The sequence below is a fragment of the Homo sapiens genome, chromosome 7 (assembly GCF_000001405.40).
Source record: "Homo sapiens chromosome 7, GRCh38.p14 Primary Assembly".
Classification (NCBI taxonomy): Eukaryota; Metazoa; Chordata; class Mammalia; order Primates; family Hominidae; genus Homo; species Homo sapiens.
In genome coordinates, this window is record NC_000007.14 from 134,438,877 (window position 1) to 134,462,892 (window position 24,016).

Below are 24,016 nucleotides of genomic sequence, written 5' to 3' on the forward strand. Positions count from 1 at the left end.
ACATAAGAAGGAGATGAGCGTCCCTGCCAATACCCAGTACCGACTTGCCAGTGGTTGAGTGAGCCATCTTGGAATCAGAGCCTCCGGCCCCAGTCAAGCCTTCATATTGAACCACCCAGCTAAGCTTCTCCAAAATTGCTGAACACCAGCAACTGTGTGAAATAAATCCTTGTAGGTATTAAAAACAAACAAAAAGCAAAGCATTAGATTCCAAGACTTTGAAACTGTTCCAGCATCCTCATGGGTGGAGGGGAATGTGGGAAGGGGTTCTGCTGGCTTGGCTCCCAGATTCCTCCCCCACGGAAACCACAGCAGCTCTGCCTGTATCTGTGTTACATACTGAGGACCCGTGTAGATTTTCTTTTGAAGAATGGAGCCTGCTGCCAAAAATAAATTTGAAAACTCTGGCTTAGAAAAACAATGGATTAGATGACCCCTATAGTCTTTTCTGTCTCTCGCATTCTGATTCCACCTATCAGTATGAAACAGATAACTCTTATAAGCCCATGGGCAGTATTTTCTTCTTGCCATGAAATACAATCCTAGGGGTAGGAAACAAAAACTGTGCTGCTCACTGATAAGTGTGTCAGAGAATCCCTTCCTTTGTGTGAGAATGGCGTGATGTTCCTGCAGAGAAAAAGCCCCTTTCAGGGCATAGCTCTGCCCCCCTGGGGCATCACCTGCCAGCCTTGAGGGGCTGGATAGGTTTGCTTCTGTTGTCAACATTTGATTATAATGATATTAACAATATCAACAATAATGGCTAGCATGTTTTGAGTACTGTGTGCAAGGCCTTGGGACAGGGGGTTTTTATCTCATGCAGTCTTCATCACCACAATGAGGCAGGCATTTTGTAGGTTGAGGAAATTAAGGCTGATAGATTAAATGAATTAGAACTGCAATTAAGAGTCTATAGTCCTAGAACTCTTGGCCACCATTCAGTGAATTATGGGCCAGGATCAGAACTGAACAGCTAGCATTTGGGTTTAATATATACTGATTTCAAAACTTGGGGGTTCTAATAGGCATTATAAGAAAAACTCTACGTTCACTCACTCACTCATTCATGCAACTGACATTACTGAGAGTTTACTCTGTGCCCAGGTGGAATTCTAGAAACTGGATAGAAGGGTGTGGAAAATAGAAGCTGGCACCCCAGGGTACACTGGGATTTGGGGCTGTAAGAGGACCTGAGGAGCCATCAGCTGCTTCCACTGCCTTCAAGGGACAGAAAGACTCGGTATAACCTAGGGGGCTGGATCCTAGAGAGCCATGAATTCCCAGAACGCCCCTCCAGGGAAATCTTCCTGGGTTGAATCCAATACTGACTGTGCTTATCCCGGCTGGGCACCCTCCCAGGGTCCTGCCAATGAGCCCCGTGATAAGCCGTGACAGAGAGCAGCAAGGACATTGCACTACAGCAGTTTGTGCAATTTTATCAACATAAAGGACATAGTGTTGAGAAACCTTGTTCTTTGAAATCAGATCCTGAAAAATGATGCTGTTTGAAATCGTCTCCGGAGGCATTGTTCAGAGATTTTCCAATGCAGATCTTACTTGCCCGTGTGATTTAATATTTTGTTCTGTATTTCCATTGGTCTCAATATCTTAACAATTCTGCTCCTTGGCTGGAACATTATTTTGGTAAAACCCCACTGCTTCATGAATGTATGTTGTGCCCCCAACTTCACAGGGGCAAATGTCCCGAGATGGGGCCAGCACCATTGTTCTATAACTGCCACTGACTTTGCCCTCTGAAGGGTGACTTCATTCATCGTGATGAGTCCACCAGAGTCCTGAGGCTGGGCTGGAGTCTGCCCAGGAAGGTGTAGCGGTTTTGATTCCACAAGGGGAAGGAAGAATGGAGCTCTCCATTGGTGAATGAAGCAGCACCTGTCTTGATCCACGGACCTTCTCTCATCCATCCACTCCTTGGATGAATTGTTAGTGGAATGAAGCTGGTTCCACTGAGCTCCACAGCCTCAGCTTCTGCTCCTTAAGCCACACTTTTCAGCATACAAGCAACGGGCCTTACCTGAGCCCAAGCCGCTGACTACTGAAAATACGATTGGAGCTTCAAAATGCAGAACCAGCTGTTCTCCCTGTCATTCGTGGCATGCTTTAATTCTCTTCCTCCTCTTCCACTGCCGGCAAGGCTCCTAAAGGGCAGTCCTTAGAAAAAATCTGAGGGTTCTGCTGGAAAGTAGGGAGGGGAGGTTGCACAGCTTGCCTTTTATCTTGTTTATGCTCCTGGGCTGAGTCTCAAATTGTCATGCTACAATGGTCTATACTAAGCGGAGATCTAAAAGGCAGGTAACCGATTTAAAAACTGTTACCAGTGACTACCTTAAAGTTTTTCCAAAGAGTGTTGAAGCCAACTGGAGAAACAGAGTGGGGATCAGGTCAGATGATTTGACGTAACTTTTGTAACAAAACTAAAATCTACTCTTAATCATCAGAGGGCAACATAAGGTCTGCAGTTTAACAGGTGTGACCTGCCTACTCTGGCAGGGGAAACTGGACCACTGTGATCAGCAGATGCCATGAGGGACCCAGGCCCAAGGCTGCCAGGTAGTAAGGGCAGCCTGTGCAGTGGGGCTCTGGGTTCTCCACCGGGCTCAACCCCAGCCGCAGAGGGGCTAGGTGTGCCCCTCCAGCGCTGGGTGAGGGCCAGGAACCACCACTGCCCAATTAACTATACCTTTAGAGGTGCATCTTAAACACAGATCACCTGCAAAGCAGTTAATGTGACTTGATCATGGGGGTCCTAATTATCCAATAAACAAGGGCAGCCACAAAACAACCTAACTTGATGAACTTTCAAGTCGGCACTTGTCTATTCCATTCCTTTCTTGGCCTTTGTTAACTTAACTCTGGATAAAGAAACGGTAACAAAAAGAAGCAACAGCATTCCGCCTCAAAATCTTTATTTTGTAGCCCTATTTCATCTTCATCCAATTGGAAGCCATTTATTTATGCTTTTCTTTCCTCTTGTCTAGACAACAGGCTTCAGAAAAGCAATTTCTCTCAGGTTGTGCTGCTTAGTAAACACCGACCTCGGCCTTCATACGTAGAAGGAGCAACCAAGGAATCTGTGGAATCGAACATGGGTTTACCCTAAAGCTGTGGCTCAGCCTTGGCTGCACCCTGGAATCACCTGGAGAGCCTGTACACTCCTGCTGTCCTGATCACAGCCCAATCAGATCAGCCTCCAGGGCGAGGTCCAGACATCACCAGCCTTAAAGCCCCCAAAGGTGACCTGGTGTGCAGCCAGGATGAGACCCACAACCCTAAAGCTAAATGGGTAAAGTACTGGGGTGAGGGGCCCCCAACTTGCAGTTGAGGACTTGTAGAAAAGTCAAGTCCTCACTCCTTTTGCATCACTGACTGGCCTGCCTTATGGGTATGTGGAGAGTGATGGTTGAAGTGAGATAGAAGGTTGCTATTGTTTTAAAAAACCAAAGCTCACAAAACCAAGCTCACAAAAGCACTTTTTATTTGAGGCAAAGAGAAGTCTTGCTGAAAGGATTCCAGTTCCAAGCAGTCAAAACTCAACCGTTAGTGGCACTATTTTGACCTGGTAGATTTTGCTTCTCTTTGGTCAGAAAAGGGTATTCAGGTTGTACTTTCCCCAGCAGGGTAGAAAGAAGGGCAAAGCAAACTGGAAGAGACTTCTACTCTACTGACAGGGCTCTTGAGATCCAACATCAAGCTAGACACGCCCTCGCTGGCCACTCTACAGGTTGCTGTCCCACTGCTGAGTGACACAGGCCATACTACATTTGCAAGGAAAAAAATGAGGCAAGAAACACAGGTATAGGTCACTTGGGGACGAGCAGGCAACCACAGCTTCAAAACTCTTCATGGAAGGGGTAATCCTTGTGGGAGGTACAGCTGTCAGGAGAAAGGAGAAAACAGTTGCTTTTTGAAGAGGTGATTTTGACTATACCCAACTCCCAACAGAGAAATGATGTGTCTCACTGAAGAAATAAAATAGAACCTCAGAGGCAACAAGCTAGTTCTGAGTGTGCAGATGATGGTTCTGCAGCTGGGGGAAGCAACTCACCCTCCAGACCCCTCTACCACTACTGTCATCAAGCAGCACATGTGTGAGGGACACCACCCTCCCCATGTGCCCAGCACTGTGCCTGGGCCGTGCAGGACGGCAACACGATTTCTGCCTTCCAGTAACTCAGTCTAGCTGGCAGGACCAGACAGTATTTTGTGGTCTTAAACATCTTGTGTAATAATATGAGAAGGCAGGCCAGACACAGTGGCTCACGCCTGTAATCCCAGGCTGAAGCGAGAGGATCACTTGAGGCTAGGGGTTTGCGACTAGCCTGGGCAACATAGCAAGATTTCCATCTTAATAAAAAAACTTTTTAAATTAACCAGGCATGGTGGTGCATGCCCATGGCCCCAGCTACTTGGGAGGCTGAGGTGGGAGGATCATTTGAGCCCAGGAGGTCAAGGCTGCAGTGAGCTGTGATCATGCCATTACATTCCAGCCTGGGTGACAGAGTAGGAGCCCATTTCAAAAAAAAAAAGGGATGTTAAAAGTCTGTATGTGACTGAATCTCAAAGGATAAGAGAAGCAACGGCAAGTGCTCTGAGGACAGAGGGAGCCTCCTTGTATCAGTGGGGGCTGAAGTGAGCCCAATCAACGGTCGGCGATTTTATATTGGAAACAGGGCAGGGAGCACAGGGCAGGGAGCACATGGCAGGGAGCACAGGTGCAGACGTGTTTGTCAAGGCTCACTCACTGTCCATCTAGTAGGGCCAATGGCTGTGCTAGGAACATAAAGGCAGGAACACTGGACAGATAGCTGGGCAGCTCACGCAAGGCCAGAGTTATGTAATCTGAGCTGGGTGCTTACAGTCTGTAACTCTTATTCAAAAGTTCTCCATGGTCTGCCTTTTTTGTATACCCACAGTGACACTGACATCAGCAGGTCAGGCTCAGTAAAGCATTATCTGCCAGAGGGGTGGTGTGTGTGTAGTTAGCGAAAACTCCCTAGGAGACCTGAGCATGTCAGGGCTAGCCTCTTCCTCCCACTCACCGCCACGCAACAGGATAATCGAACAGAAGTTTCTAGCACAATACTGGAGGGCAGAGGAGCCTAACTGTAAAGGGAGCAATGAGAAAACCACTGTGTTTCCTCAGCCCTGAAAGCTTCAATCCACTCTGTCTCAAGTGGGAGGGGAAAAGGAAGACGGATGAATGGGAGAGATTCTGAAAGGAGAACGAATGTAGCTTGGTGACTGATTCACTCCTCTCCTCCTTGTCCACTAGATCCAAAAATGATTTTAATGTCTAGGGCTAAGTAGCATTAACAGAGATGTCTGAAAGGGCACTGGCCTGGGGCTGCCTGTGACATGCTCTGTTTGCGGCCTATTTTGAGTGTGAGGCCACAGTGTGGCAGCAGCAGGCTTGCCAGGCACGCATATGCCTGAAGCAGGGCCAGAGTTATTGTCCAGGACGCAGACTGGGCAAACATCTGCCTGGGGCGGTGGCTGAAGCCACCAGCAGTGCAAACTCCGGGGAGGGAGATGGGACAGACGCTGGAAAGGGAAAGCTGGTAGCCCACCCCATCTTAGGGAATGTTCACATTTTGCTTAGAAGAGGAAGTACTAAAGGAGAGAGTGTGGAAACACAGAGCTCAGACAAGAATAAGGGTAGTGAGAGAGAAACAGAGTCTCAGTCTCCACTGCAAAATGAGAAGTTCCTTCTTGAAAGCAGAAAGTGAGTTACATGCGTCACCTAGTTATTGTAATGGTAGGAAAAGAGAAAACCCCACAGAAAACCTTCCTAGGCAGCTCCTTCCAAACTACCATGCAGAGGAAACAGAACCAGAGGATGTGTGGCTGGAGGAACTGAGGTGCCTGCTGCTCAGAGGGAGGGCCTGTTTTGGAGCCATGTGGCTTACCAGGTCAGAGCCGGGACTGTCTCAAACCTCAGCCCCAGGGGCTCCCGACCAAACCCCTTTCATTAGGGTCATTAAGACAAAAAGTCACAGGCAAATTCTTCCAGAGTTTGATCCAGGGTCACCTGGGATCACCTAGTTTCAGATGAACTGCTAGGATTTAAAAATTGAATGGAAAGCCAAAATATGTAGTTACTTCAGGCCAGGCCAACAATGCCCCAGGGCTGGAAGAAGATATCAAGAGCGGATCTCTTGGCATCTTGGCTCCATGCAGTTCAGCTGATGCAAGTCACGTGGCTGAGAAAGCAAGGTAATGTGCAAAGCAAGAACAGCTGTGACGAGAGCACATTGGCGCTGAGGCCTGCAGGGATCACTCTCTTGCTGTGCAGCATCTGAATATCTCCTGGGAACTGCTCCTCACACTGGGGCTCACTCACCTCAACAAGGCACAGACCCTCCAGTTCCTGTTGTAGCTGAGTAAGGTGGTCATATCCTGGCTGCTCAGTTCAAAGTCAAAGACCTAAAAAACAAACAAAAAAATCCAGTAAGCTCTGCAAATAAAAATAAAAGACAAAATACTGTGCAGGACCCAGATGTCTTCCATGGCTTTGAGCAGAGAGGAGCGATAAGATAAACTGAACTTAGGAAAAGCTGATATATTAGTATTCAGGAAATGTGCATGTTGGGCTAGATAATATATGGAACGATGGAAACAGTCCTTCCTTTCCAGAACCTCCCAGGGAAATGATACATTTTATTTCATTTCAAAAAACACTACTGAGCACTTCTATTGTGATAAGTTGCAGTGAGGAATATAATTATGGGTAAGATGTGTCTTTGCCTCTATTTTATGAAGCAAACAAAGGGCAGAGGTATTTCTACAACTGTAATACAAATAACTAATCACACACTGTATAAGACACTCAACAGCACAGGAAGGGCAGAGGTATTCCAAAGGGATTCCAGCCGGGAAACTGAACAACCACAGCCGAAGAGGAGATGGTATTTGACATGGCCTAAGAAGTATAAGATTTTGACAGAGAGGGCAAGAAAGGTATACTGGGAGAAGAGAACCACCTGCATGAAGGCAGCAGACGGTACAGAACTCAGCTGGCATGGAGGCTGGGAGGGAGGGAGGCAGGCAGGCACCACTGGGTGAGACCCACAAGAGGCTGACACACACTCCCAGAGCCGAAGGGCTCTTAGCTTCAGATGATCACAGAATGTGCAGAAAGAGAGTCTGCTACAGGCTCTGTGGTTATGATCACAGAAAAATGTGCAAAAGCTATACAGTAAGATGCAAAAATAAAATAATTAGGTTAGCATTTTGAGATTAGTCATTTATTTTTTCTTTCCTAATTCCTTAAAAAATGAAATACGAAACAAACGATGCATCTCTGGTGGGATATGCCTTTCCCTCAGTGGCCACTGTTTTGCCATTTTATCTTGTGTACTTAGAACATCTACCTGCACGTAAGAAGAAAAACGTCTCCTCTCCTAAACAATGAGCTCCACTTCCCTCTTCAGGGATCACTCTCATCCCTGTCTCATATGTGACAGGTGGCAGGCACTATGGCCACAGTCTTTGGGCAGTGGAATTGGGCAAAATCAGCTGCTCACCTAAGCTGGGGCCTGCCCAAGAGCCCCAGGCCCATGGCTGTGCTGCGCTCGGCACAGATCTTGGATAAAGACAGAGCATCCCTGGCAGAGCCACTTTGCTCAGTGAGAACAGAGGCTCTTGGGCCATCAGGACTCCCCTGAGCTGCTCTCCTTTGGGCGTGCCCCCCCCCTCCCCCACACCCCCGCCACCAATGCTGCAAGGGCAGGCAGGGAGGGAGGTGGCGCCAAGTAGCCTGAGCTGCTCCAGCTGCCACACTGAGCGCTTCGCCAGAGTCCTGACACAGGTCTAGGCTCTGCCCATCATCACACGAACTCCTTGCAGAGCTGGTGAATGGACTAAATGGCCCAGAGGGTCCTTTGCAGTCCCTGGACTTATCAGCACAGCAACATTTCTCGATCACTTACTAAGGTATTAAGCACCATGTGAAGTGCTCTGATGCATCACTTAATCTTCGTAACAACCCTCAAAATGGATATTATTTTATAGATAGGGAAGCTGAGGCATCGAGCAGTTAAGCGACTTGCCCAGGGTTATGCAGCTGGTAGCTGACAGAGCTCCAGTGCAGGGCAGGTCCAGGCAGTGAAGCTCAAGAGCGAGATTCTCCCCGGGTAACCTCTCGGTGTGGCTGAAGGGCCTGAGCAAAGGTGTAGGTGTATGCGTGCACAGCACGGGGCCCTGGAGGCCCAAGGCCTGCCCCTGCACACGGCTCCACTGGTGAGGTGTCAGTCTCAGTCTTGGCTTGCTCGCCACAGCTCCCTGGCCTCAGAAGAGAGGATGGTGGTGATCCCACAGATGACACTCCAGAGACAGGATGAGAGGCCTCCCCCATCCCCCACTCCATGGAGGAGGGCCAGGCCTGACCAGCCAAGATCTTACCTTAAAGTTCTCAGCAATGCGTTCTGGTGTCACAGACTTGGGGATCACCACCAAGTTCCTCTGCATGGGGAACCGGATCAGGACCTGTGAGCCCAAGGAGACAGTGAGTGTGTATACATGCCAGGCACTCGCACCCATCATCTCAGTCTCTCACACACACAACCTGCAGAAGGACGTGCTAGAACTCCACAGGTGATCAGAGAGGGGCTCCAAGATGTCAGGTCACAGCTAGCAACAGGTAGGCGACGCATTCAGGTCCAGATCTGACTCCAGAGTCCTGCGCTAGCCACTGTGCCACACGCTTCAGTGTCTCAGGCATATCATGAGACCACATGAGGCCCTCCACTGGCTAGAAATGCACACTACCACTCAGGAGAAAGAACATTCCCTGCACGGCTAAGAGCTCTTACATTTGTACAGATGAGGTTCCACATGAATGAACAAGCGCTGGCCCTCGTGGCAGTCACCCTTGCAGTAGTGGGGGCAGGCACTATTAATCTAAGAGCCCATGCCAGAGTCTTCTAAAACCCCGATCTGTGCCCTTTCCACTCTGTACTTGAGGACCCCTAACCATACTTCCTGTGAGGGTGTAACAGGCTCAGTCACTTCCTCCTCTTGGCTAACAGGACTGTCAGGAATGCAGGCAGTTGTGGACGGTCAGCAACACCTGAAGTGGCTGTACCTGGGCTGTAGTTTTATTGTGCTTGGCTGCGATCGCCTTGATCCTGGGATCCTCCAGGAGAGAAGGGTCCTCGGGCTTGGCCCTGAGGATAGAAAGACAGTCCAGGTCACACCATCATGGCCACCACTCACAGCAGCCAGAAACCCCAACCCTAATCCTCCCATCGACCTCAGAGGGCAGCCACCAGTCTCCTCCTCAGAGCTGGGTTAAGAACCCCCAACCCTTTGGAAAAAGAGTAGGTGTCTTGCTACTAGAAACTCCAACCCTTCCAGGAAAACCAGCAAGAGGCTCAGGGGAAGTTTTGCAGATCACCCCCAGAAACATCTTCCTTGAGGCTGAATTGTTCTTTTTAGTCTTTTCTAATCTTCACCAAGTGACACAGGAGCATGAGCCTGTGGGAAGCTCACCAGGGCCTGTCAGGAGAGCCGAGGGGGCTGTAGGCGGTCACCACGATGCCTTTGGACTGGCAGTACTGGATTAACTTCTCCTGAGTGAGATATGGGTGGCACTCAATCTGCAAATGCAAAAACAAGAGCTGATGGGAGCACTGTGGCTACACGCTGATGGGACACAGATGAAGCTTCCTATGCTAAAGTCCCTCCCTACCCCATACAGAAAACTATGTATAACAAACACCCTATTTCCCAGATAAGCTGTAACTTCCTACAGTTCCCAGGTAGTATCCTTGGTGTTATTATTATCTTATTATAGATGTTCTCATGGGCCCTAGAGGCTTTTCTTGGCTTTAGCCACTTATCAACTATCACAGTTCTGAGGATCTCATGGCTGCCTCTTTGTCAGACCCCAAATCGTCACAAGCCAGGCTCAAACTCTTTCTTTCCTGTAAGTTTCCTCTCCCAGATGTGCTGTGTCATGCTGAATCATAACTCAGGACTCTGCCAACACCCAGGAGCTGCCTCCTGGCCACTTGCTGGGTGAGGTGGACGAGAAATCCCTACCAGCATCAGACAGTAAAACAGCAACGTTGCAATGCCAGTGTCGTTGGGGGATGTTTACCTGGTTAACTGCAGGCTTATACTTCAAGCCAGGTTTGTTTAAGATCATCTCCACCTGGAGATGGTTGAAGTTGGAGATGCCAATAGCTTTCACCAGCCCTTCATCCACCAGCTCTTCCATGGCCTACAGAGAAAAGTGTCTGTGTGGTGCAGAAACGAACCCAGAAAGGACAGGATCAGAAGTGTCGTTTGCACCAGTTTAACGGGTCCTGCCCTCACTCTTCAGTGCCAGTGAATTAGACCTTTCAGAAGCTAAGAGACAGTGAGACGAAAGCCAGGCTGGCTTTAATGAGATAAGAAGAGCAAACAGGCCGGGCGCGGTGGCTCACGCCTGTAATCCCAGCACTTTGGGAGGCTGAGGCGGGCGGATCACGAGGTCAGGAGATCAAGACCATCCTGGCTAACACGGTGAAACCCCGTCTCTACTAAAAATACAAAAAAATTAGCCGGGCGTGGTGGCGGGCACCTGTAGTCCCAGCTACTCAGGAGGCTGAGGCAGGAGAATGGCGTGAACCCAGGAGGTGGAGCTTGCAGTGAGCCGAGATTGTGCCACTGCACTCCAGCCTGGGCAACAGAGGGAGACCCCAACTCAAAAAAAAAAAAAGAGAGAGCAAACAACAGGGACAGAATAACAAAATGCAATGTGAGAAATGGCAGGCAGATTGCTTCTAAGAAGAAGAGGGAACCAGTCACGAAAACAAGGTCCAACCAGGGGCTGTCTTACCGCCCACGTGTCCAGAATGTTGGTGTCACTGGGAACCACATTGCCCGACTCATCCAATGGGAAAAATTCCTTCCCAGGCTGTCATTACAATAAAAAACAAACAAACAAAACAATCAGTAATAGTCCTTCACAGACCTGCTGGGGGAAGCTGGCATCTAAAACAATTCTAAACCACCACAGCTGGCTAGGGATAATCTGTGTGCCACTATGAAAAGGAAATAGGCAGATAGCCAACACTTCTTTATCAAACGGGCTGGAGCTGAGACTGTCAGACGGAGACATGGACACTACTTGGTCACAGAGACTAGCCCCGCCACTGACTGCAATGTGTGGATACAGGAAGGACTCAAGACCAGGACTCACAGGGCCCAAGGCCTGGCGGGTCACTGGCCTATAAAACTACCACCTGGCCCAGCCTCCCCAGCTTACCCCTAAAATCAAAAGATAAAAGTCAAGTCCCTTCAGCCCTGATATGCTGTGGTGCAATAAAACAGGGCTACGGGATAAAGCTAAACCCACACTTTGAACCTGGCTCACAGCAGAAAACTGAGGCAGTGGCTAGAAAAAAGGCAAAAGACAAAGTAACTCTCAAGTTCTTCTTGTGCCAACAACTAGACTGCAAATAGTTACCGGGCCTCCACAGGACAGGGTATGCATGTAGAACGTGGGTAGGGACTCATGTGTATGGGGGTTGGTGTGTGCACGTGCCTGGAGGGGAGGGCCAGGGCTGACCGTGCCTCATGGCTGTGTGCACTACAGACAGCAGCTGTGTTTGCTGACAGTTTTAAATTGCACATCTACCAACTGGCAAAGAGCAGTGCTCCTCAAACTTTGAAGAAGTGTGCGTATGAGTCACTGCTGGTGCGGATTCAAATGGCCTGCGTGGGGCCCGAGACTGTGATTTCTAAGACGCTCCCAGGTGATGCCAGTGCTGATGGTCCACTGGCTATACCTTGAGCAGCAAGAACAGAAAGTCACCCACACGTAATCTGCTAAGGGAGCTCAAAACACACCACAGGTTGCACCTGAGCCCCAAGGGACCTGGTCTGCACCAGGCATCCCATACCTTAAAGCCAGTCGGCCAGTGAATAAGGTAGAGGTCCAGGTAGTCCAGCTTCAGGTCGCTGAGTGTCTTCTGGCAGGCTCCTTTCACCAGGCCCTTCTCATGGTACGTGCACCACAGCTAAGCCAGCGAGAGGGCACATGTCATCATTGCCAGCCACAAGGCAGCTTCCTGGCTGGAAAGACAGAGCAGTCTCCTCTCCCCAAAACCCATTTGCTTTACCATGATGCTGTGAATGGTTGTGAGGGCATTTCCACTGCGTACTGGATCCTAACTTTCCAAAGGCAGGCAGGATGACCAGGTCACAGAGACCTCTTACAAGGACCAGAGGACACAAAATGGAATGGACAGATTGGCTAGCCTGCCCTAGGCCTAAGCAAGAACTCTCGAAACTTTCCCCCCGGGCTGGTGTTTGTGGAGCCAGCCCCATCCTCCTGCCTCATGTCCTTTGTGCATCAGTATCTCAGGTCAAAGACAGTGGCTAGCACTGGAGATTCAGTTTGCAGATGGGAACCAAGTTCCATCCTTGAAAGCGACTCCCTGGAAAGGGAGGGCCAATCCACAACCTCAGCCTCATCAGCACGGGACTCTAAGCAATGGGCCCAGATGGAATGACCATTCAACAGAGAGCCAAGGATGGGCGAGCTCTGGAGCCCTGTATGGCCGTGGGTGATACGTTTCCCCGGGAAGAATCGCCCATCAGTGAAAAGTGTAGCTGTATTGAGTGTGGACTTGGCTTTGGGCTGATGCACCAACAGATGATGGGACCGAGAGCCCCTTCCAGCCCCACCGCGGAACGATACCTTGCTGACGATGAAGAGCTCCTCACGCTTCACCACCTGCTCCCTGAGCTTCTCCTGAATGGCCACCCCCACCTCATTCTCATTCTGGTACACATGGGCACAGTCGATGTGGCGGTACCCGACGTCAATGGCCACCTTCACGGCCTCAGTCACCTGCCCTGGAGGGGACTGAAAGGAGAAAGAACGTGAGCCCCGCAGAATGCAGAGTCTGCACAGCAAGGAGGAGGGGCAGTGGCAGCCACCGATACCTGCTGACCAGCCTGCCACTTTGTTCAGCAAAGACAGACCACGTGCACTTCCTCAGCAGCATTCTGGACTATCAGCCTCAGACGCGGGGGATGGAAGTGAAAGGCCACACAGCATTGCCCTGTAGGAGAATCTGACAGCCACTTAAGTGTAGGTGAGATCACTTTTAAAAGATATGCTGAAGCCATCTCATTTTCTTGCTTCTTCACATCCACTGATTTGCAAACCACTGTATTAAAAACATTTCCCCACACTCTGAATGCTGAGATAGTAAGGGAAACCATTTCCTTCAAATATCTCAAAATATTTCAAAAATAGATGTCCTATGGACCCCAATTCCCATGTGGCTCCCCAGTTCAGCCAGTGAATGCCTGCCCCTTACGCTCTCTTTTCATGCATGGCTTCTGATACCGGCAGTCGCTTGTTTTCAAGCGGTTCTGGGAGATTATCATGAAGTTAAGCACATCACTGATGTTTATTCAAAGGCCCATGTGTCAATTCTCACTGTATGAGGATCTGCTTCAAGGGGTGGAGACACGGGAGATGGCCCCTCAGAGGTATCAGCAGAGAGAAATAAGTTAAAGGGAAACGAGGGGGAATGTGGATCATGGAAGATCACCAAATGGTTAGTGGCTGACCTGGCAAAATGACTGAATGGGTGTCCATGGCCAAGCCACCTGACCATCTGAGTAACCAGAACAGCTGTGGGGAGCCTGGCTACTGAAGAGGAGGAGGAAGTGCCTACATGGCATCGCGCTTCACTGGCACCCAGGTAGGCTGCATGGACACGTATCCCCCAACTTTCACTATCCTGCTATGATCACAGAGCTGAGCAATAAACATGTGCAGCGGGCTGTTGAATGAACAGAGCACATTCCTTTGGAGAGCTGGGGTAGAAACAAATGAAAAGAAAAACCCCCCAGGGCCATAGCAGCTGCAGACATCTGTGTTTTGACATCAGCTATTTTCAACAGGCTTTGGGGAAGAAAGGGGCCCAGTTGAACAAGCCCGTTACCAGAGCCTGTTAGCATGGAGCTCACTCTCCACCTCAGAGGGAGCAGCGAGGCAGGGTGGGGATGCTCATCGAAGGTGTGGGTTAAGAGGGGACGACCCTCAGAGGACCTGGCGACCTCTTATTTGACTGGAGGACCTCAGAAGCTGCTCTTGCAGCCTTCCCCACTCTGCACGGTTGAAGGAACAGAGAATCTCAATTTCCAGAAAGAATGCCTTACCACAGGCCCTGAGTGGTGTCCGGGCACAACCACCACTGATGACAGCAGGGAGAGCAGAGGACATCCCTACCCCAGAAAGAACAACTGGGGCCCAGGCAGGAAACTGCCCAGGACACACTGAACTTTCTCCAGGCTTGATGGCGCCTTGATTGATTTTTCTCTGAGGAGCTGCTGAGGGCACACTCCGCAGGCTCAGCCTAGCCACGCACTGCCTGCCATGCAACTGGTGCGGGGACAGGAACATGACTCAATCCAGGCCATAAGACTCAATCTTTGCACTTGAATTGGAACCCCTGAGTCCAGCCCCGGTTCTGCTGGGGTCACTGAGCTGGGAGAATGTCAGCCTGGAGCTGCTGCAGGAAAGTGGAGGGAGGCCAAATCCTGGTGACAACATTTACAACCCTGAATCTCAAACACCTAATGTCAGCGGCTGTTGTTTGGGGAAGTCAATCAATCCCCACCCCAAACACACTTTTTTTTTTCCTGCTTAAGATTAAAGTGGTTTTTCAGTTCTTTGGAACCAAAAGAGCACAGACTAGGATAATCAAGCTTGCGTTGGCACGACATGAAAAAAAAGTTGTGAGAGGTTTTTCTAGAAAAGTAAAAGACAGCAATGACTGCAAGAGGTCACGAAGAAGCTGCTGATCATTCCTTGGATATGTGCCATTCGCTGGAGACATGTGTGCTGGGAGGCTGATCAAAGGTGCTGGAGGGAAAAAGTCACCTCTGCAATGAAAATGTACGAGGATCCACAACCACATTCTATGTTAATGATCTCAATGTACAGCCCTTCCCTGAGAGAAACTAATTTGCCTTATGAAAAATGAAGCAGCCAACTTAAGCTATGGTGAGAAACCATTCACTAAACTTGGGAATGCCAACACAGGATGACAACATCTCCCCATTCCATGTCAACAAAGAGAAAATGCAAACAGAAGGAGGGGTCCAGATTGACTTCTAAAAAGAAGGTAAACTATGAAAACATGCTGGGTGGCATCCAGGCACAGCCATTACTGATGAGAGCTGTAGAAATGCAGTATATGAAACACTCCAATTACAGCTCAATCATACAAATCCTACATGTTTCTAACCCGATCCTGCCACTAATCTGTGTGCCCTTGATGGGCAAAACCATGCATGCCCATTCCTCCCAGAACTTCTGGCTCTGCAAAGCTCTACGTTGGGCAGTGACTTGAAATGCTCTGGGCTGATGGCACCAAGTGATGGCAGTGAGAAGCCTCTGCCCTTGAGTCCTCCACCACCTCCTTCAAGACAGCGGTCCTAGTTCCTCCTTTGATAACACCGGCTGGCTAATACCAACTCTGAGACACTGATAACTAAAATCAGTGTCTCCCTCCTACACAGATACAACACTCCTTTTAAAACCTAGTCTTCTTCCCTTTTGCTTACAGGTCTTGCTAGTTACTTCAAGATACCCCTCCCTCTCTTCCCTCTGCAAGTCAAAAAGCAAGCCACAGTGCTAAACAGGAAGACGGTCACAGGACAGTGTTTATGGTAAAACCAAAGTATCTCAGAGATTGGATATTTTGCAATATTAACCACGGGGATCTCTGGGAACAGGGAACTCTTCATTTTTGAAATGTTCTCTAGTTAGCAGGTGTTACTACTGAAATCAAAGGATAAGGGGAGGGGGCAAAGGAAACTTCACTTTGGGTAAAGAAACGGTCCTGAGTAGGAAGCATGAGAATGCTGTGCTGATAATCCTGGAGCAAGGAACAGGAAACGATCACTCAGAATCAGGTTTGGCAGCAGAAATTAACTTCCTCCTGTTCTGTTTTAATCAATTTGTCCCAAATTCTAAGACACTGCTGTTTCCAACTAGTTGAGATGTGCATGGACCAGGACTGACCCTGTAGGGGCAGGGCTTATTTAAATGTCTTTGGTCTTGAAGAGGAAGAGATGGGGGCTTTAGAGACACCAGGGAAGTGAACAGTAAATCTGGCTCCTGTGTTACCTCCATGCCCACAGCGCCTCAACCCTCACCCCATCCAAGGATCTTGGGCCATCACAAGCTTACCCCACTTGGGGAAGGTGGAGCAAGTCTTTCCTGGCACATTTTCTTTTACCTCATGCATTCTTAAAGTGGGTGCTATTGTCCCCAAAGAGACAAAAATTAGTTCTCTGGGGCAAAAAAACCCCCCTCAGCTTATAGAACAGCTTGTGACCCTCTAGAAGGCTACTGGCCATAAGCAGAAGTACAATATTATCTCTGATATTACAATTTTATTTTGGGGCAAATTAGGGGAAAAAAAAGTCTCACAAGGCTCCTAGGTGGGAGGGAGGTAGTGATCATGGCAAAAGATGGAGAAACATAGTTGTACCTTCAGCCCTAGGAGTATTCTGTGAGCATACATAGGAGACTTACAATGACTTTTACCTCCAACAATTTTTCAACTAGATTAAAAACACTATCAGTAACAAGACACTGGTGGGCACCAGACATCATCTCTGTTTTAAAAGCTTCCTGGCTTTACAATGCTGTGATGGGTTTTTGTTGTTGTTGTTGTTTCTGAGACCGAGTTTTTTTTTGCTCTTGTCGCCTAGGCTGGAGTGCAGTGGCACAATCTCAGATCATGGCAACCTCTACCTTCTGGATTCAAGTGATTCTCCTGCCTCAGCCTCCCAAGCAGCTGGGATTACAGGCACCCACCACCATGCCGGGCTAATTTTTGTATTTTTAGTAGAGAGGGGGTTTCACCATGTTGGCCAGCTGGTCTCGAACTCCTGACCTCAGGTGATCCACCCGCCTTGGCCTTCCAAAGTGCTGGGATTACAGGTGTAATTGTTTACTATCCAATGTAGAAGGCAAGACTGCCAGAAAGAAACCCTGTCCAAGCCACATGGGTCTGGGGCAGAGATGGTCTCCCCATCTGCCTGAAACCCTCACCTGAGAAGAGAATGGAGTTTGAGGACCTTCAAGAGTAGAGACTACCAGAGCCCTGCTGAGGGTCTGAAAGGTACAACACAGCCGCTACGGCATGGGAAGACCCAGGAGAATAAGGAACTGCACCTGCCTGCAGGGCCTCCTCCAGCTGTCACAAAGACAGGCAAAGGATCACATCTTCTGTCGAGCATCTGTGAAAGAATACATACACACATACAAGGGAAAGGTTTTTTTGTTTGGTTGTTTTTTTAGATGGAGTCTTGCTCCATCGCCCAGGCTGGAGTGCAGTGGCGGGACCTCGGCTCACTGCAACCTCCACATCTGGGGTTCAAGCGATTTTCCTGCCTCAGCCTCCCAAGTAGCTGGGACTACAGGTGCGTGCCACGATGCCGGGCTAATTTTTTGTATTTTTAGTAGAGACGGGGTTTCACCATGTTAGCCAGGACGGTCTCTATCTTCTGACCTCATGATCTGCCCGCCTCTGCCTCCCAAAGTGCTGGGGTTACAGGTGTGAGCCACCGCGCCCGGCCCCAGGGAAAGGTTTTAAGTCATTAAAAAAAAAAAGGAAGTTGATTCCAAGTCCATCCTTATACCATTACTTTGACCCACCATTCCCCGCTGCCCCCACCGTACAATTCTACACCAACCTGATCTCCTCATCCACAGGAATACAAGTGGGCGTTTTCACCATACAGCTATCTCTAAAGTCGTTTTACTTCTTCATATGAATTCAACACATAACTTTTGGATACCTACTCCTATATTTGCCAGGCACTGTGAGAAGTGCTAGAAATAGTAATGAATGAAGCAGACATTATCCAATTTCTCAATGAACTCTGTCTACTGGAATGCATAACCTAAATGTACAGATGTTATGATGTGATGTTATCTTAAACAAATACATAGCTTTTTGGGGCATTGAGTGCTCAAGTGAATAATCTGAAACCCTCTTTCATAAACTTTTACTCCTCAGCCTGGACAACATAGGGAAACCTGTCTCTACAAAAAATTAAAAACAAACTACCCGAGTGTGGTGGCACACACCTGTGGTCCCAGCTACTTGGGAGGCTGAGGTATGAGGACCACTTGAGCCCAAGAGGTTAAGGCTACAGTGAATCATGATCATGCCACTGCACTCCAGCCTGGGTGACACTGAGCCCCTGTCTCAAAAAAAAAAAAATAAACTTTTACTCCTTATTTACCCTAGAGTAGTGATTTTCAAATGATGGGTCACAAAACTAGCTTCTGGAGGTATGACAATAATTTTTGGAAAAATGGAATAGAAAAAAATATTGAAATGCAGCCTACATAGGTTAAGTACTGTTAAGTAATTTTTATTCCAGTTACATGTATATATCTGTGCGTTGCATCATGCTTAGAAAGTATTTGCTATTGCCAAGAAAGCATCCTTCTGCATCCATTCCAAGAGCATAACATGCAACAGATGGAAATTAGCTTGGTGTCATGGTTGTAATTCAATTACAACCTTAGAGACACCACTGGAGTTTTTGGAGGAAACAAATCACGTACCCTGATCATTCTGGCCAAGAAACACTCTCCCTGATGCAAATGACCTTTTTCTTACCTTATATTTACTAATTTTCAACAGCAGGTTTTAGGGTACATGTAAACTCTTCTGTCCTATTTCAAACATCTCACAGTTCACTCAGTTCTTTCTGTTGTTTTCTTCCCTTGTCTGTGTGTAAATATCCAACGCCCAGGCCCATATTCAAATTTTAAGAGAAAAACCTGGGACGTGGGCCTGCCAGATGGTTCACACCTGTAGCTTTGGGAGGCGAGGTGGGAGGAGCGCTTTGAGCCCAGGAATTGGAGATCACCCTAAGCAACAAGCGGAGACTGTCTCTGCGGGGAAGAAAAAAGATTAGCCAGGTGTGGTGGTGAGCGCCTGTAGTCCCAGCTACCCGCAGTGCTGAGGCAGGAGGATCACTTGAGCCCAGGAGTTCCAGGCTGCAATGAACCATGATTGTGCCACTGCACCCCAGCTTGGGCAACGAGACCCTGTCACAAACAAACAAGCAAACAACAAAAACAGAAACTGAGAAACCCAGGTTATGGCTGTGGAATATAATATGCAATACTTAGAAGGTTAAAAATTCTAGGTTTTGCCTCAGCTCCCATACCACCACCTTTGTTGCTCAATTTTCAGATAATCAGGCTCAGGCTATTATTTTTGGTTTTTCATATCATATTATCATTTTTCATATCCTATGATGTTTCATGTCCTATTGTCATTCTCATCCGGCTAGGCACTTCTCGGGGACGCTGTGTGGTGTTGAGGTTTTACAGGGAAAATGCTAACCTTGGCGCCTCCTGAATTATCAACTAGCTACGGGGTGCCCAGATTTTTCTCCCGAGTTCCAGACCCAGGGCACCCCGAGGCGGCGCCTGGCCGAGGAGCTCCGCACTGCGCCTTGTTAACAGCTGGGTCCGGGCAAACTCGCGCCACCTAATTCTCTGCCCTCTACCGGCTTGAGATGCTTATTCCTCAGGGAGGGCAAGAATCGAAACGATTGAGACCAACTATTTACAAGTGAGGCAACCGGGCTACAGGTGCCTCGAGGGAAAGGAGGCTGGGTCTGCGCTCCCACACCTTGCCGACGGCTCCACGTCCCTGTCTGCGCCCGAGGTCCACCGGTCTGTGAAGCCCACTTTCCCCGCCTCCCTCTCGCGTTGTGCCGCTTGGGGCGCCCGCTAGGACCCAAAATGCGGACTGGTGGGCCGCCCATCAAGGGTTGCCCGCGGTAGGGCGGGGGCTCCCGTGAGCTGCTCCCAAACCCCACTCGCAGGATGCTGCCCTGACGCCCAGGGCCAACCCGGGGAGCCAAGGCCCCCGGTCTCTGCAAGGCCGACCCCAGCCCGCTGGGGACCCTGCAAGCCCGCGCGTGGCTCCCAGCACGCCGGGCGTCCGCGGGGCGAGCTGCTCAGGGTCACTCGGGGTCCCTCGCCAATACAGGCCGCGCGGAGAGTGTGAGGCGAGCCCCGGGCCCGCGCCCCCACGAGCACCTACCTTCCAGGTACCCAACCCCAGGATGGGCATCTTGGCGCCGTTGTTGAGCAGGAGACGGCTTGCCATGGCTGCTGCGCTCCCCAGACCCCCGCCCAGTACGGTGCGGCCTTGGCCGCGGCGCGTACCTTTAAATAGCCCGTGAGGTCGGCAGAAAGGGCGCCTGCGGTTGGCGCGCCGCTGCGCGAAGGAGCCTTCTGATTGGTTGCGCTGGGGGTGCCGCGGCGGCCTTCCCCAAGGGTCGGCGGGGATGCTTCTTCCGCCTGGTCCTAGTGGCAGCGGATTCTTTCCGCCCCCAACGCTCGCCCGCGCCCCGCGTGGCAGAAAGGAGTTCCTCAGCTGCTGTATCTGGTGGGAAAGCGAATGCTTTAGCGAAAATAACAGGCATCCCATAAATACATAGACTAGAAATAAGTTTTGGTTTCATTAAGAGCCCAGAAGAATGCCTTTGTTGTCCAACCCCAGTTTGATGCTCTTTGGGAATCTGACGAATACCTTGTCCTTAATCTATGTGAATCATACTGACTACACATATAGTTTACCGCACTTTGTTCTTAGACAAAGGTGCATGCCAGAAAAATGGCTTGCAATCCTTTTGCAAAGCACCTTCACAAAATATGGGTTTGCCCAGACTTTTTGTAGCCTTCTAGATCTCTCTTTGCACCCCACTCTAGGTGTTAGCTGTGTCTGTGCATACTAGGTGTGGTTCAGCAAGCCTTCCACCAAAAGCCAGCATCCTTTGATGTTCTTGAGGTTAGAAAGCCTTGATGGGCTTGATCCAGAACTCTCAGAAGAATTTGGAAAGTAAGGCTGTCCATTCAGAATCAGTAAGACAAATTTCATCAGTCTTTGGAAAGTGAGACTCTATCAAAGCAGTAAGTTCCAGTACAGTAACTTATCAAAACTCTCTAGAGGAAGAAAAGTGAACAGACAGAAAACCACAGAAGAAAAAGTTGACTCTAATATTGTAGCTTCCAGTATTTCAAATTAGAAGGTACAAAATAGTAAATTGATCACCCTAATTGGCAGGTAGAAACACACATTTTTCCAAGATAGCCTAAGAAAAGTCACTTGAAGATCCTTGAAGACAATTTTGGTTTCTTTCCAACAACCTCTCTTCATGATACTCTACCTCACCCCAACTGCTCTTTCTGCTCCATCACCCTCCGATCTTTCCCCTAATTATGCAAGATTGGGAACTCCATCTGCCTGGTAGTGACTCAAGCACCAGGTCTCTCTAAACTCCATGCCGGTGATTTTCCATTTGGTGCTTTCTTTAAAAGTGCTCCCTCCTGGAAAAATTTATACAGAACAGACTAGCCCAGATATTTTTCCATGTAACTTTTGTAAAAATTGTTGCTATTGGGCAAATTCATTTGTCCCCAAGTAATAGAATTTGAACTTGAGCCTAAAGCTGGGAACTTGCTTTGTGTAAAACAGCAAGTTCCTTCCTCCATGAGAGTCCTCTTGACTTGGAGGTTGCTCTGCCAATTGAACCTCCTGGGTCCAAATCCAAAGAGCTAATCTCTTGTGAAAATGATACACCTTGAGTGGCCAGGTTGGTACACACAGAAGGGTCGTCTGTTAGGGACATGGACTCAATATCAGAGGCTTTGTTGTTGGTTTGATAATAATTGAGTATACAGCTTGATTGCATGAAGTTATAACTGTGTCTAAAGCTGGAGTGATACCTGTAGTCTCAGCTTCTCAGGAGGCTGAGGTGGGATGACTGCTTGAGCCCAGGAGTTAGAGACCAGCCTGGACAACATAGCAAGACCCTGTCTGTAAAATAAATAAATAAACCCAGAATATTTTGGCTGGGCCATGCAGACATGAAAAGTTGTATCAGTGGAATTTCTATAGCAACAATAGCACTCTAGTTGGGACATGCTATTGTGATAGCCCCCTAACATCCCCCATTGCCTCTGTAATCTTTGTAAAATGTACACATACCAAAATTTTTGATCTCAAGATTTTTGATCTCCCATCTTTTGATAAGTATACATATCAAAATTTTGTTTGAAAAAGGGAAAAAAACCTTCAATGGAATCCTCCTGAGAAACACTCTAGTAATTGGAATCTTAACATGCTCTGAACCAGTAATCTCCCATCATGGGAATTTTTCCTAAGGAAATAATTTAAAAGGAAAACACACACACACACACACACACACACACACACACACACACACACACACACTAGGTATAGGGCTGGGCTGGGACCAAGGTAAGACAAATGAGGTACACAGGTACAAATTTTCATGCCAGAAGGTAGGAGCTTTTTTACATTTATGTCCTTGGCACTTGCCTTCCCTTAGTCCCAGGCCTGCACACAGATATACACATATGCGTATGTATTTTTAAAATGCTGTATACTTAAAGTAAAACTGTAAATATCCAACAATAGCAAGAGATAAGGTGTAGCCATCAAAAGTAAAGATGACAAAGACACAGAGAAAAATGTATATGAGGTAATGTTAAGGTGAAAGTAGAAAACAAAGTCATATAGCTATGGAATGATGCTAAGAAGGAAAATACAACCTATAACATTTAGGAAATTTAGGAAGAAGACAGAAGGAAATGGGGAATACTCTTTGTCAGATTATTTCCTTAATGAACACATTTTGAATTAAAAGACAACTTCTTATGAACTGTCCAATTCCCATAGGATAAAACCTAAACTCTTGAGCCTGGCATTCAAGGCCCTGCGAGATCTGGTACAAGTTTGAATATACAAAAAAACCACCCAATTGCATATTTAAAAAGGTAAATCATATGGTACGTAAATTATACATCAATAAAGCTTCTATAAACAAACAAAGGTTATATGCTACATGTCCAACACAAGCTGGTGGAGCTGAGGGTGACAGTAGGCTCTGTTCACATTGTCACTCAGGGACTCAAGCTATGGAGGTCCCACCACATTGTTTCCCTGCTGTCCCAACCCAAGGTTTCAGGGTTTGGCTTAGGAAGGCAAAAGAGAACCTAAGAGTCTCAAATGAGCAATCAATTGCTCAGTCCTGGAAGTGGCACACATCACTTCTACCTATAATCCTTTAACCAGATCTGGTGGTAGAGCCCAGCCAGGCCTATCTTCAATGGGATGGGGAAGTGTCATCCTCCTGTATGCCAGAAAACAGAAGTGAATGGGTATGGTGAGCAACAGAAGTCTCTTCCACAACGACAAACCACTACTGAGTCTTTATTATGGTTTGGACACTGTATTATGGTTCAGCACTTGGCATATGTTATATGAAGGTGCTGCTGCTGCTGCTTATATATCTATTGAGTTATGTACATTAAATCATTTAATCTTCATAACCACCCCTTTCATGGATACTATGATCAATCCATGTTACACGTGAAGAAACTGAGATGCAGAGAAGTGAGAAAAATTGCTAAGATCTCACATTAAGTAAATGTTAGGGTCAATATTTAAACCTAGGAATTTGACTATAGCACTCAAACTCTTAACCACTACCAGTAGCTTTCAAATTTTTAAACTGTGACTCACACTAAGAATTTTGGAATGAGTGACGTCAGGAAGAAGGCTGACTAGAAATGCCTAGTTCTTGTCCCCACCATAAGAAAGGACCAAGGGAATAAATAAACCGCTAATATTTAACTGCAATTATGAAAAAAGAGCATTAAAGTGCAATGGGGGAGTAAAGGGGTACTTGTAGTGATTGGAAGCCCAAGAGAGTACCATGGAGGCACATGGCCTCTGTAGCCCCATCTTGCCTGCCACAATTGCATCAGCCCAGAGACAGGAGGGAAGTCCCCTTTTAGGGAGAAGGTAAAAGAACCTCACCAGTCTCCATTGCCACTGTAAATGACTCCAGTCCTCATTACAAAATAATCCCACAGTCCTTGCAAGCCCCGTGCCCAGTTTGAAGAGCT

At 48.1% G+C, this 24,016-nt stretch overlaps 1 protein-coding gene across 3 annotated transcripts, besides 2 other annotated features; it reads right to left on the reverse strand.

Moving 5' to 3' along the window:
* Positions 1-3,473: 3,473 nt before the first annotated feature.
* Positions 3,474-20,363, reverse strand: AKR1B1 (aldo-keto reductase family 1 member B). 3 transcript variants are annotated; one of them, NM_001346142.1, is made up of 10 exons: positions 20,246-20,363; positions 12,710-12,877; positions 11,910-12,026; positions 10,844-10,921; positions 10,121-10,243; positions 9,511-9,617; positions 9,104-9,185; positions 8,422-8,505; positions 6,362-6,444; positions 3,474-3,894 (listed from the first exon to the last, which is right to left on the reverse strand). In NM_001346142.1, the coding sequence occupies exons 5-10, from the start codon at positions 10,238-10,240 to the stop codon at positions 3,852-3,854; spliced, it is 519 nt and encodes a 172-aa protein (NP_001333071.1). In that variant the 5' UTR covers positions 10,241-10,243; positions 10,844-10,921; positions 11,910-12,026; positions 12,710-12,877; positions 20,246-20,363; the 3' UTR covers positions 3,474-3,851. The 3 variants fall into 3 exon arrangements, 2 of the variants coding, with proteins under 2 accessions (NP_001333071.1, NP_001619.1); NM_001628.4 differs by lacking the exon at positions 20,246-20,363 and adding an exon at positions 20,121-20,224 and having other exon boundaries at positions 3,480-3,894; NR_144376.2 differs by lacking the exon at positions 20,246-20,363 and adding an exon at positions 20,121-20,224 and having other exon boundaries at positions 3,480-3,894; positions 8,422-9,185.
* Positions 9,279-10,478: an enhancer, noted in NCBI's record as "MED14-independent group 3 enhancer chr7:134132907-134134106 (GRCh37/hg19 assembly coordinates)". NCBI's record gives its function as "activates an origin of replication core promoter dependent on BRD2, BRD4, P300/CBP and CDK7 cofactors, and independent of MED14, by STARR-seq in HCT116 cells {active_cell/tissue: HCT116}" and the evidence as "EXISTENCE:reporter gene assay evidence [ECO:0000049][PMID:35650434]".
* Positions 19,834-20,023: a silencer, noted in NCBI's record as "silent region_18673". NCBI's record gives its function as "represses an Ori minimal core promoter by ATAC-STARR-seq in GM12878 lymphoblastoid cells {active_cell/tissue: GM12878}" and the evidence as "EXISTENCE:reporter gene assay evidence [ECO:0000049][PMID:35858748]".
* Positions 20,364-24,016: the final 3,653 nt, after the last annotated feature.

Excerpts from the sequence above, each read along its gene's own strand:
- AKR1B1 (NM_001628.4), bottom strand. The coding sequence starts at position 20,186 with ATGGCAAGCCGTCTCCTGCTCAACAACGGCGCCAAGATGCCCATCCTG. Across the intron at positions 12,878-20,120 it reads TGGGGTTGGGTACCTGGAAG|TCCCCTCCAGGGCAGGTGAC; the intron begins GTAGGTGCTCGT and ends TTCTCCTTTCAG. Across the intron at positions 9,618-10,120 it reads ATAAGCCTGCAGTTAACCAG|ATTGAGTGCCACCCATATCT; the intron begins GTAAACATCCCC and ends TTGCATTTGCAG.